Genomic DNA, 13,009 nt, shown 5'->3' on the forward strand with positions numbered 1-13,009 from the left:
AGAAAGTTACAAGAGTTCTCGTGCGTGGCCAGCAGGCTCAGTCTCAGTTCTCTCTGCTCGGATGGGAAACTTCTGCAAGGGAAGAAAAAGGGCTGAACCCAGCCGTTAGAAACTAACTTACACTTGGCTTCTTCATGCTTATCCACTGCAGAAACACAGGAGCCCCCATAAAAAACATCCTTATTGACACTACGCAATATTTGCCCTTCCAATAAAACAGTTCCCAGCTACCAAGGCAGCCTGGAAGAGAGGACACCAAGAGCCGCACTCTAAAAACCACCCGAGTCTCAGCCCTCCCATCCAGGGAAAAGACCAAGGCACTGGAAGAACCTCTAAGCCCATGGTCCCAGCTCCTTTCCCCACACCTTCCTTCAGAGAGAAGGAAGAGTAATCTCACCTGAGCCAGCTGGCCTCAAAAGTAATAGGGCAGAAAAGAAAAGCCTTCCGCATTTCAAAGGCCCTCTCTGAAGTGCTTGCATGAACATCTCCTTTTAAGATTTCCTTTAAAATCCTTGGTTTCCACAGAAGTAACTAGCGTCTCACCCCAAACGCCAAGCAAAGTCTCTGTGCCTGACCAAGCCCTGACCATGGCACAGAGCAGATTCCTAACAGAAGATTACTGTACTGAGGCTGGGCGCGGTGGCTTACACCTGTAATCCTGGAGGCTGAGGCGGGCAGATTGCCTGAGCTCAGGAGTTTGAGACCAGCCTGGGCAACACGGTGAAACCCTGTCTCTACCAAAATACAAAAAATTAGGCTGGGCACGGTGGCTCACGCCTGTAATTCCAGCACTTTGGGAGGCCGACGCGGGTGGATCACTTGAGGTCAGGAGTTCGAGACCAGCCTGGCCAACATGGTGAAACCCCGTCTCCACAAAAATACAAAAAAAAAAAAACAAAACAAAAACAATTAGCCAAGTGTGGCAGCACACGCCTGTACTCCCATCTACTCAGGAGGCTGAGACAGGAGAATCGCTTGAACTCAAGAGGCAGAGGTTGCAGTGAGCTGAGATCGTGCCATTGCACTCCAGCCGTGTGACAGAGTAAGACTTCATCTCAAAAAAAAAAAAAATTAGCCAGGCGCGGCACCATGTGCTTGTAGTACCATCTACTCAGGAGGCTAAGGCAGGAGAATTGCTTGAACCTGGGAGGCAGAAGTTGCAGTGAGCCTAGATCGGGCCACTGCACTCCAGCCTGGGTGACACAGCTAGACTCCATCTCCAAAAAAAAAAAAAAAATTACTGTACTGACTAAAGTTACAGAGTAGATTAAGATCTTTAGGTCCCCTTGTAACAGGAATTTGAATTTTGATTTGGGGCCTGGCACTGTCACCCTATGCTGGGGGTTGAATTGTGTACCTCCAAAAGATATGCTCAACTCCTACCCCCAGTACCTGTGAATGGGCTCTTATTTAGAAATACAGTCTCCTGGCTAGGCGCGGTGGCTCACACCTGTAATCCCAACACTTTGGGAGGCCAAGGCGGGTGGATCACGAGGTCAGGAGATCGAGACCATCCTGACTGACACGGTGAAACCCCATCTCTACTAAAAATACAAAAAAATTGGCCGGGCATGGTCGTGGGCACCTGTAGTCCCAGCTACTTGGGAGGCTGAGGCAGGAGAATGGCGTGAACCCGGGAGGCGGAGCTTGCAGTGAGCCGAGATTGCACCACTGCACTCTAGCCTGGGCAATAGAGTGAGACTCCATCTCAAGGAAAAAAAAAAAAAAATAGAAATACAGTCTCCTATGGCAGCCTTGGGGGATTGGGTCCAGGCCCTTACTCCCCAACCCCACCTCACAGATACCAAAATCCTCGGATGCTTGAGTCCTTTACATAAAATGGCAGAGTGCACACACATCCTCCCATATACATTTTAAAATTTTTTTCAGACACTGCACCAGGCTGGAGTGCAGTGGAGTGATCACAGCTCACTGCATCCTTGGACTCCTGGGATCAAGCAATCCTCCTGCCTCAGCCTCCCAAGTAACTGGGACTGCAGGCATACACCACCACACCCAGCTAATTTATTTATTTAATTTTTACATAGAGATGGGGTCTCACTATGTTAACCAAGCCAGTCTTGAATTCCTGACTTCAAGCAACCCTCCCACCTTGGCCTCCCAAAGTACTGGGGTTAGAGGTGTGAGCCACCGTGCCCAGCCCTCCTATATACTTTAAATCATCTCTGGGTTACTTATAATATCTAATACAATATAAATACTAGGTAAATAGTTGTTAGGCTGTTTTTTAATTTGTCCCCTTTTTAAAAAAAAAAAAAAAAGATGGGGTCTTGCTATATTGCCCAGGCTGGTCTTGAACTACTAGCCTCAAACAATCCTCCCACCTTAGCCTCCCACAGTGCTGGGATTACAGGCATTAGTCACTACACCAGGCCTGTATTCTTTTTGTTGGTTTGTTTCCCCTGAATATTTTTGATTACTGAATCCGCAAATGCTGGCTGAACCTGCAGATGTGGAAGGCCGATTCTACATCCTTTTGCAAGTATCACTTAGCAAAAATGAGGTGATATTGGATTAGGGTGGGTCCTGATGCAATGACTGGTATCCATATGAAATGAGGGGAATATAAAATGAGATGCACAGGGAGGTGCCATGTGATGGCAGAGGCAGAGATTGGAGTCCTAGGGGCCAAGGAATGCCAAGGATTGCAGCAACGCTGGAAGATAAGAGAAAGGCATGGGCAGATGCTCCTCTAGAACCTTCAGAGGGCATGGCCCTGCGGGCACCTTCCTCGTGAACTTTCAGCCTCCAGAACATTGAGACTAAGTTTCTGTTGTTTAAAGCCACCTAGTTTGTGGTACTTTGTTACTGCGTCTAGAAAACTAACAGGTCTGGAAATCATTCACTCCAAGGCTCTCAACACTCTCAGCCACCCAATCACCCACCCCTTTCCTCACTGTGTGCACTGTTGCCACTTCAGGATTATATGACTCCGTGCAACCAACCACGACCTTCTGCAAACACCATCCGGAGAGGTCAGAGTCCCCATATCCATCTGGGGACAGAGACACAAAGTCATCTTTATCGGGTGGCGGACTCTGCCCCTCAGTCCGCCAACTGAGAACCGCCAAGGAAAGTCTGAGGTAACCCACAAGGTTTGGGAAATAGAAGGCATGGGGGGCGGGGGGGGGGGGGCGGGTGAGGACAGGTGGAAATTAGCAGAGAGTGGGCAGAAAGAAAGAGAAAAAGGAAAAGGTTCAAAAAGGAGCCTGCGGGTCAAGAGGACACACAAGCAACAACAGGAAGTAGACATCCTCCTGCCTTGCCCCCTCAGCCAGTCACATGCTTCTAACTTTCTCCCTCACACACCTGAGGTCTGCCTGGGACAGCCTCCAACAGCCTGCCAAACAGGTGACACCCAGAGCACTGGCTACCCACACAGCTGCCGCACTTCAAGCTCCCACAGTGAGAATACCAGCCCACTTCCGTCCAGGGGTTGGGCTTTATTTGTTTTGGATTTCCAATACCGGGGACTTGCTGGGGCCAAGTCAATACTGGAAGGCCAAGGAGATGGCTGGGCAGATAGATGTGGTGCAAGGTTCTACACGCTGCCTCACCTGTGCCAGCTTAGGGTCTGTGGTCATGGGGCAGCGGGGCAGATGCATCCCACTCACTTCCCCACCATAGATACAGCTCAGATGGAGGCACCAATGTGCCTGGAAGAGCAAGGCCAAGGCCTTGGAAGTGAGTTCACAGGGCTGCGGAAGTGAGTGGCCTCTAAATCTCACCTCCTCTCCTTGCTCTGGCACTCACCTACACTCAAGGCAAGTCACAAAATTAGGCCGGTAAAGCCTGGGAGAGGTAGCCTAGTGTCTTGTTGAGAGCCAGAACCAGGCTAAAAACCCAGCCCGATGACCAGCAAGCTGCTGCTCTTCACCCATTCGACAAGAAACAGGTAAGCACCTACCCATTATGTGTTCTCAGCAGCCTCGTCTGCAAAGATAAGATGACAATTACCTGTCTGAACAAAGCTCTTCTGAGGATGGAACATGATTAACAAATATAAAACACCCAGCATAATGTTGGGCACATCAAAAAGAGCCACTATGGAGGAGAGATTAGAATTATTAGGGTCATATCTTCCAACCCAGAGCTTGAGACCCAACCAGGTCTCTGTACCATCCACCAGCATGTCAGCTCCACAAGGTAGGCAGGGATATTCCTCTGCTGTTCCCTGCGGCATTCCCAGCACCTACAGCGGTGCCTGGCACACAGTAGGCACCCAAATGTTTGTTTGTTATGTGAGCAAAACAACTGCCGGGCATCCAATGCCCTTAAGGTTAGATGCAGAAATATCAAAACTGCATGATACACTGACCATCTTGGGGACAGAAGAGCATACTATGAAGTTATGAAACAAGCAGCCTTGGCCCATATCCTGGGAACAAAAGGCTACTGGTTCCCCCCAAATGAAGCCAAAATCAAAGAGGAGACCAGCACAGAGCTCCCTCAGGCTTCAGCCTTGAAAAGGCATGTTGGCTTTTACAGGAAGCAGGTAAGGGTTTAGCCATGCCACCTTAGTTTCGCTCATGAAATGATGGCTGGGGGTCACAAGAGGTGGGTATCCAATGAGGAAACAGTGTGGATGGGCCAAAAAAAAAAAAAATCAAAATCATTATTTTACAGATATCTTTTTCAAGAAATGCCTCCCGCTTCAGCTGGGATTCATAGCCATTTCATCTTTTAACTTTCCTCTCCTCTCCTCATTTCCATTTTAGGTTCAACCTTACCTGGCGAGTGTCCTGGAATACATAACACAAATTGCTGGCAATCTGGAGCCCCTGGTACATCTCCCACCTGGGGTCCCTTTAGCCTCTGCTGTTGGCTGTCATTTGAACCCTTCTGCCCCAAATTAAACCGCTCTAAACCCCAACCCTGGGTACTTAACCAGAAATGCCTCTACCATTTCCACCTCTATTGGCTGTGCCTCACCTGCCACGCCAACCTGGGACTATGAAAACCCACCAAGATATATTAAGTAGGAGCATCCACGTGAAAAGGCATCTCAGCAGAGTGACAGTGTGAAGATCTGGGAAGCTGAAGCCTTCACCGCTGCTTCCTTTTAGGTGGTGACCTGAGAACAGGTTGCTTACACTTTCTGAGCCCCAACTGTGCCATCCATAAAAATGGGCAAAATAATAATAGTGCCTCCCAACAGGGTTGCTGTAGAGACAAAACACAAGAGCAGCCCCTGAATGCTTCTTTTTGAAAGTGCGGAACAAGCGCTGTTACTAGGAACTCTAGTCTCCTTTCTCATCCGTGGAAGAGGTACAAGCTAGAAAACTGTGCCAAGCACAAGGCAGCCCTGCAAAGCAGAAGTAGTCCTGTTTTTCTCAAGTGATTAACAGGTCCAAGAAAGGCTGTGGTGAGATTTACGAGGGCCACAGCCAAGAGAGATTTATACGCGTATGGCCTTCAGATGGTTTTCTAAGACATGTGCACAACCCGGGTTTGGCTGAGGAGCTCAGCAGCAAGTAATTTTCTAATTGATTCATTAGCACTCCAATCAACTACTACTTTAGACACAAAGGCCTTGCTTGGGTCTGAATGTCTCAGCCTGGGAAGCTGAGCTGAATAAACCATTCTTGCCCTGGGGGCAGCAGCAGCCCAGGGACAGGCAGGAGAACCCACACCATGACCATCCAAAAATCATATCAACGTGTAAATAAACTCAAGAGTCTGGACACAGAAATAGAACCCGCACAGCTTCTCAGATGCTTTTTTTTTTGAGACAGGGTCTCATTCTGTCACCAATGCTGGAGTGCAGTGGTGCAATCATAGCCTCAACCTCCTGGACTCAGCAATCCTCCAACCTCAGCCTCCTGAGTAGGTGAGACTACAGGCACGTGCCGCCAAGCCCAGCTAATCTTTTTGTATTTTTTGTAGAGATGGGGGTCTCGCTATGTTGCCCAGGCTGGTCTCGAACTCCTAGCTCAAGCAATCTGCCCACCTCGGCCTCCCAAAGTGCTGGCATAACAAGTGTGAGCCACCGTGCCCAGCCTTAAATGCTATTTTTTATAATGAGAATTTTCTGACCAGAAGAAGATGATGTGAAAAAAGTAAAGTAAAAGTAGGAAAACAGCCTGAAAAGAAATACTCGAAAAGTTAGCACAAAGTTAGTCCTGGTGGTGGGTGACTTTCTTTTCTTCCTTCCTCCTACTTTTCAAAATGAACGAGTACAGAACACATAACTTCTTCTGTTCTCTCAGGTATAAAATGGCAGCAATTATACCCCATTCCCAAGGTTACCGGAAGGATGAAATTAGATTATGTATGAAACAGGCAGAGCCTGAAGAGCCGGGGGTGCCAGAAAGGCTGACCCACCATATCAGTGACTCACGGGCCCACCTACCTCCTGGGCCAAAATTCAAGTTATGCTCAGGAAGGTTATAAATGACTCCAGTCACTTATGAATTGTTGAGGCCACAAATGCTAAAAGTCACAGATCTCAAGAGTAATGTTATGATAATCTAAATATAAATGAAACTTTAACAACAATCTTCCTTCATCTTTTCATGTTCCTCTGGCGTGTGGGATATTCACCTAAGACAGGGTTCCTCAACAGGCCAAGCTAGCAGGGATGAACCTCTAGCAGATTACTCCCACGGAGTGACCTCGCTGGGCCTTTATGGGAGCCCCTGTTTTGGGACCGGCTTGCTGCCTGTACACCAGCTGTAGAAACATCCCCAGTGCCATCTGGGAAGGACTCCTGACTCGATCTGGCCCAGCTCAGCACGCTGCCTATCTATCCATCCACCCACCCATCCAAACATCTGTATGTTTATTCTCCAGAAGGAGCTCCTGGTGAGCTAAAGAGCAGTGTGAACTCCAGCAAACCAACAGGCTTCCACAGCATGGAAGGCAAAACACATGAAGACCCCCGATCTTGGCCAGGCCTGGTGGCGCATGCCTGTAGTCCCAGCTACTTGGGAGGTCGAGGCAGGAGGATCCCTTGAAGCCAGGAGTTTAAGACCTAACTGGGCAATATAGTGAGACCCTATCTCTACAAAACAAACAACAACAACAACCAAACCCCACCCCCGCCCCCCAAAAAAAACAGTCCCCTCAGTCTGAAGAGCCTTGGGCTAGACACGGCTCAGGGTACATAAAAGGACCAAAAGCCTAAAACTTCGGAAGCAGCACAAGGTGCCTTAGGAAGCTTGATAGAACTGATTCAAGTCCTACTTCACCTAGCAGGGAATTACCTTGTTATCCTACTAAGTGGCAATCTCCAGAGAGGCCAAATGGATCCAAACTTCTTGGCTGACTGGTAAGGTGGCTTCTTCAAGTGACTTCTCCATAAAACACCCCTGAGGAACCTTCTGTCAGAAACGGTCCCCACTGGGTCATCCCACTTCCTATGAGGCTTCATCTCAGCTTCAAACCCCTTCCTCCCCTGCCTTCACCTCCCAGCCTCCAGAAGAGAAAGTCATCCATATGGGGTCTTACTATAGTAATGTTAATGGAACAAGGCAAGGGGAGGGCGGGATGGCCGTCATCTCATGAGCCTCACCTTGCAGGATGTGCAGCAGGAAGAAGCTGCGTCTTGCCGTTTGACCATGCGAGCATCTAGCGTGATCAGCACTGTGCTCACTGCCATCATCAATGCTAACAGAAACGTGCAGACAACACAAAACCTCAGAACTCCCATCTCAATCAACTGCTCGGAAACTTCAATCTGAGAGTAAACTGTCATGTTTTTCCCACTCTAAAACAGGATGACTAATGACAGAGGAACCTCAACACAATCCATGGGGCTCAAGCCAGATCCCTCTCAACAGAGCACAAAAGCCACCCAGTCCCAAAAAATGTGAGCCGACGCCGGGCCCCTCAACGGATTCTGAATGGCAAACCCGAGAACTGCAGGAGAGACAGGAGGCAGTAGGTGACGCGGGGAGGCGGCCCGACCGGACAGCGCCGTGTCCTCAGACCGTCATGCCATCCCCTTGGTTTCCTCGCCTGCACGGGGGCTCCAGCTGCAGGCGCTCCCTGGACAGGTCCCCACACACCCCTGCCACAGGGAGGACAACTCTCAGAGGGCCCCAGCCAGTTTTAGAGCTGGATACACAAGTTTGTTTTATTTATTTTGCATCTAACAAGGCCCTGACACTCTAATTGGAATAGGGCAGACCCATTCTTTCCGTCGAAATCAGGCCCATTGCGAGGGGAAAAACTGCAGGCCAAAATCCAAGCTGAAAGGGTAAACTGGAAGATCACCTCTACTTTCAGATCCTACAGGTTCCAGAAAATCTTCAGCTCAACACCCCCGCTCCTGCCCTGTGACTTACACACATGTGGCCAGGCCATCCTCAGAAGCTTCAGCCTTAAAGATTTTTCCCTTTGCTCCTCTGAGATGTATCCACTCTGAAAAACCCTGTGCACCCTCTATGCTGGCCCCACCAAGTCAAGATTTCTCCCAGAAGGGGAATGGGAGTGTTTTCAAGTATCCAGGTGACCCAGGTGCATTGTCAGATCCCAATTCTGGCCACCCTCTCACATGCTCCATGGAAGTCAGAGAAAAACAGGCAGGGTCAGAGGCTGCTCTCGAGGGCTGGCCTGCCCCATCCTACTCATGCTGCAGCCCAGGGCAAGGGGAGTGGCATTCAGCAAACCCTGTGGAACTACACTGAATGGGGCAAAATTCACACAAGCCAGATAAACCCTAAAGCCACCTTCTATACCAAGAAACCAGTCTGAGGTCCAGCAATGCATAGACTCTGCTGAGATCTCTCTTTCCATCCAGACATGGGCTGAGGGACTGAGAGGGACTGCAGATGATCAGGTCAGCACCTTCATTCTACAGATGAGGAGGAGACTGCAGCACAGAGGGGACTGACTCCCCAAATCATACAGGGACTAGAAACCGAACTGGACCCAGATCCAGGGCTGTCAGTGACTGACCACTCCCCCGGCTCAGCAAGAGCACTCCTACATCCCAATGCTGCACCAGGATGCCCAACAAAAGATGGGACTCCCATTTCACTATCTGCAACCTGATCTTATCTAGAAAGCCTGGAGCCAGCGCATACCACTGTCTGCAGACTCTACAGCCTTACAAGGCTGCCTGTCTGCTCTGCTTTCTGCAGCATCAGTGCACCTCCCAGCCCCTCAAACTCCTACCCATCAAAACCACATGCCAGCCTTTCCCAGGCACCTGCCACATGCAGGGCAGGTGGACAGACCAGCAATGACACGGTACAGTGAGGCAAGTCTTTCCACCCAATCCCACAAAACATAAGCCAATGCTGGGACCCTCAATGGACTCTGAGGGTCACCCCACTGAACGGCAAACCCGAGAACTACAGGAGAGACACGAGGCAGTGGGTGAAGTGGGGAGGTGGCCCTGCTGGATCCTAGAGCCCCAGGAGGGTACACACTACCACTCTTGTCATGTGGTTCTCGGCGTTCACATCTAACGTGGGAGCAAGGAACTTCCACAAAGACCTGCTGGGCCTCTAACACACAGACCTCTCCCCCAGGAGCTTACAACCGAGATGGGGAGGGGGAGTGAGCCACCTGAAGTCCCAGTAAGTACTCTAAGCTCCTCTCCAGCCCACTCCCCGCTCCCTCACAAATCCCAGGAACACTAACCTCTCCAGGGGAAAGAAATTCAAAAAACAAGAAACCCAGGAAGCCAACCAATCGGAGATCCCTGTGAACCTGGGCCTAATGTAACACACAACTCTGTGTTAAGACACGGTGCCTTAGGGAGGAGTGGACTTCAGAACACATCATCTGTACATGCCATCTACCCAGCCTGTGGACTTCCCAGTAATTACAGCCAAGAGCAAAGGGGTAGAAAAGAGAAAGGTGAATGAAAAATCATGAATGCCTCATGCCTTTCCAAGGCCAGAAGACTGCTTACTGCCCTCGACACAAGGTCCCTCTAAAAGGAAGGGGAGGGTGAGGCTGGGTTGTTTCCTCCTCCTCTCCTGCTCTTGCTTTGAAGGTCCCTCACACAATGGGAGGCTCTCAGGCCAGGACAACGGTGTGACCTGCCCCTTCTCTGCAATGCCTGCCACATGCGGCGTCCAACAAACGTCTGATGAGAGAATGAATGAGACCAGGCACTCTCTGTCCTGTTCCTCTCTGTGCTGGGCACACAGCAGACATGAGGCTACTGTGCTCAACTAAGCCGAATTTCTGGACAATATCTATCTGGAGATAAATACAAGAGGAGGGCACCAACCACAGACATTACAGGGAGATCTCCCCCAAATTTATTTTACTTATTTATTTTTTGAGACAGGGTCTCACTCTGTCGCCCAGGCTGGAGTACAGTGGCACAATCTTGGCTCACTGTAACCTCTGCCTTCTGGTTCAAGCGATTCTCCCGCCTCAACTTCCCAAGTAGCTGGGAGTACAGGCACGTGCCACCATGCGTGACTAATTTTTGTATTTTTAGTAGAAACAGGGTTTCACCATGTTGGCCAGGCTGGTCTGGAACTCCTGGCCTCAAGTGATCCACCCGGCTCAGCCTCCCGAAGTGCTGGGATTACAGGTGTTGAGCCACCGCGTCCAGCCTCTCCCCCAAATTCAGAGAGCTCCCCTGCCTCCCAAATTTAAGGAGGCTTCTTGGAAAACTAAAGGAGTTATCTTAAAGTCCTCCTAAAAAGCCAGTCCCTCTTTACGTGAGGTGGTGTTTCAAGAAGGCGGCTATTGTATGCAGGAGGGCAAACCCCTGCGTACATCCCTCTATCCACACCTCCCGCTTTGTGCGAGGGGACACGATCCCACGTGAGGGCTCCTGGAACCCAGCTCCCTCTCCTCCGCCCACCCTGCCTGGCCAGACCCCATTAACGCAGTGCTCGTGCCATCAACACTGTTGTTTTGGAATGTGCCAGTAATTCTAGTGGCAGGAACAGCAAGCTTTAAGCTCAGCAGAGAAACCAGCTGGAGAGGCAGCCTCATGAAATAATGAAATGCCAAACCAACCCCTACATCTTCTCCAGTCTCTCAGGTCACCTACCAGATTAGAAGGCCTGTTGCTACGGCAACCATATCTTGCAAGTGCCGGCTGAACTTCCCCATAATTTTTAACCCTTTAACTAGCTCGGAGAGGGTAGCGTGCAGATGAGCCCAAATCCCGGGGAGCTGGCCTGCTCTAGGTGCGTTTTTACAAATTAAAGCAAGAAAAAAGAAAACCAGCAGCCAGGGGGAGGGGTGAAAGTCCACAGTTGAACAAACAGACACGGTGCAAAGGAAACGCCGCACACTTCCACCTTTCCTTCCCGCCAGCGCCCCACCAAACAACCTGATCGGCCACGGCGCAGCAAACTTTTCACGCACCTGGCAACTCCCAAGCGCAGGAGCTGCAAAGGAGATGGGAATAAACAATGGCAAAATGGAACTGTGCCTGCCCCTCCCGGCCAGGCCCCGTGCCCTTGTGCTACAGAACAGCGCGGGCCCTTCTGTGGGAAGCAGAAGGCGGCCGGGAGCTAGGCGGCGGGGACAGATGGCCACGCAGGCACTGGCACTTTCCAGTTGTCTGATGGGCGCCGTCTGCCAAACAAGCCCCCCACCGCCTCGCAGCCGCTCCCACCCCAAACACAGAGCTTAGGAGCTGCAAAGGGAGCCGACATCCAAAGGGGGCCAAGCACGGGTGCCCCAGGAGCCGCTTCTCCCTCCAGCATTCTACCCACATATCTACAAGTCATCGGGTGTCCACTCGCCTTCTCTCCATTTCAGGAAGTCTTCCTCCACCCGCCCCACCTGCTTTGTGCTCAGCAACCAGCGTTCAAGAGATCTTCAAAGAATAAATGTAGGGACTTTCCTCAGCCTCTTGGTTTTGACAAGACAGACTTCATAAAATCACACAGACGCAGAGAAAGGCCTGACACAGTCTCACCGCTGGGGGTAGAGCCCCTCACCTCACTCCACATCTTCTGGGTGGAGGGAACAGGGCTCACAGGGGTAACAGAGGCCTATCTGGTTTCCCCAGAGAATCAAGGAAAGGCCCCTAGGAAGGGAGGGAGGGAAGACAGGAAGAGAGGTCTGAGTCCCCAGTGAGAGGAGACAGAAGGCCAAAGGGGCTAGGAGGGGAAGGGAGAAAAGGAAAAAGGCAGTGCGAGTGAGGAAGGCAGCCAGGCAACCTGGGACGCTAATTAAAGGCTTTGCAGCAATCGTGACTGCCTAACACAGTGGCCCAGGGTGGGCACTCGACAAATGAGGCCACCCTGCTACACACAGATCCACACCCCCACTCCTGACAAAAAGCTAGGGGCTCACTTACAAAGTCAGGCAGGCAGGAGAAGGAAGGTAGGTCAATGTGGGGGTGGGCAGTGCTTCAGTAAGTTTTTTGGGGGCTGGGGGTAGGGTGTACCATAAGGGTGCTAGCACTATTTGTGAAGAAAAGAGAGAAAATTCAACCCTGCACATCCTTGCCACCTCATCCTCCTGCTCCCCAGCCAGCCCCACCACCTCCACCTCTCCCCCATCCACAGGGGACCCATGGGGTGAAATCCAGTCCAGTGAATTAAAGTCCTAATGTCCTAAGCTGCGCACAGCAGTGCACACCTGTAGTCCCAGCTATTCAGGAGGCTGAGGCCAGAGGATCACTTGAGCCCAGGAGTTCCAGGCCAGCCTGGTTAACATAGCAAGACCTTTTCTCTCACAAAATAAATGAAGTCCTAATGTCTTCTTTGCCAAGTAATAAGACACACCACAAATGGCCTGGCACCCAGGGAGCAGGGATGATTTTTGCTAGCATGTTCACCTGCCTCCCAGTCTTTCCACATGCACAGCAGTCATCAGGTTCCAGAGGACCCATCAAAGGTGGACTCTCCAAAGTAAAGGAAGATGGACAAACAGCACTTCCACACCTACACTATACCATCCAGGCATGAGGGTGCAGTGTTCTTACAGAAGGGTCTCCTTCCTTAATCCACTCGTGGGCAGGGCTGAGACAGCACCTCAATAGCCCTCTGCAGCATCTGGGACAGGACAGGAGCTCTAAGAACATTTTCGAGCTAAAAAGGAAGGAGCTTTT

General features: G+C 50.7%; 1 protein-coding gene across 16 annotated transcripts in view, besides 5 other annotated features; it reads right to left on the bottom strand.

Annotated features, from left to right (window-relative positions):
* Window positions 1–13,009, bottom strand: part of SSBP3 (single stranded DNA binding protein 3) — a 188,059-nt gene that overhangs the window by 119,673 nt on the left and 55,377 nt on the right. The window lies entirely within an intron of this gene.
* Window positions 5,321–5,868: an enhancer, noted in NCBI's record as "NANOG-H3K27ac hESC enhancer chr1:54816098-54816645 (GRCh37/hg19 assembly coordinates)". NCBI's record gives its function as "activates a minimal SCP1, AML or CMV promoter by ChIP-STARR-seq in naive H9 embryonic stem cells {active_cell/tissue: H9 hESC(naive)}" and the evidence as "EXISTENCE:reporter gene assay evidence [ECO:0000049][PMID:30033119]".
* Window positions 7,263–7,941: an enhancer, noted in NCBI's record as "H3K4me1 hESC enhancer chr1:54818040-54818718 (GRCh37/hg19 assembly coordinates)". NCBI's record gives its function as "activates a minimal SCP1, AML or CMV promoter by ChIP-STARR-seq in naive H9 embryonic stem cells {active_cell/tissue: H9 hESC(naive)}" and the evidence as "EXISTENCE:reporter gene assay evidence [ECO:0000049][PMID:30033119]".
* Window positions 9,976–10,653: an enhancer, noted in NCBI's record as "NANOG-H3K27ac-H3K4me1 hESC enhancer chr1:54820753-54821430 (GRCh37/hg19 assembly coordinates)". NCBI's record gives its function as "activates a minimal SCP1, AML or CMV promoter by ChIP-STARR-seq in naive H9 embryonic stem cells {active_cell/tissue: H9 hESC(naive)}" and the evidence as "EXISTENCE:reporter gene assay evidence [ECO:0000049][PMID:30033119]".
* Window positions 11,674–11,863: an enhancer, noted in NCBI's record as "active region_1057". NCBI's record gives its function as "activates an Ori minimal core promoter by ATAC-STARR-seq in GM12878 lymphoblastoid cells {active_cell/tissue: GM12878}" and the evidence as "EXISTENCE:reporter gene assay evidence [ECO:0000049][PMID:35858748]".
* Window positions 12,054–12,203: an enhancer, noted in NCBI's record as "active region_1058". NCBI's record gives its function as "activates an Ori minimal core promoter by ATAC-STARR-seq in GM12878 lymphoblastoid cells {active_cell/tissue: GM12878}" and the evidence as "EXISTENCE:reporter gene assay evidence [ECO:0000049][PMID:35858748]".

Source organism: Homo sapiens, chromosome 1 (assembly GCF_000001405.40).
Source record: "Homo sapiens chromosome 1, GRCh38.p14 Primary Assembly".
NCBI lineage: Eukaryota > Metazoa > Chordata > Mammalia > Primates > Hominidae > Homo > Homo sapiens.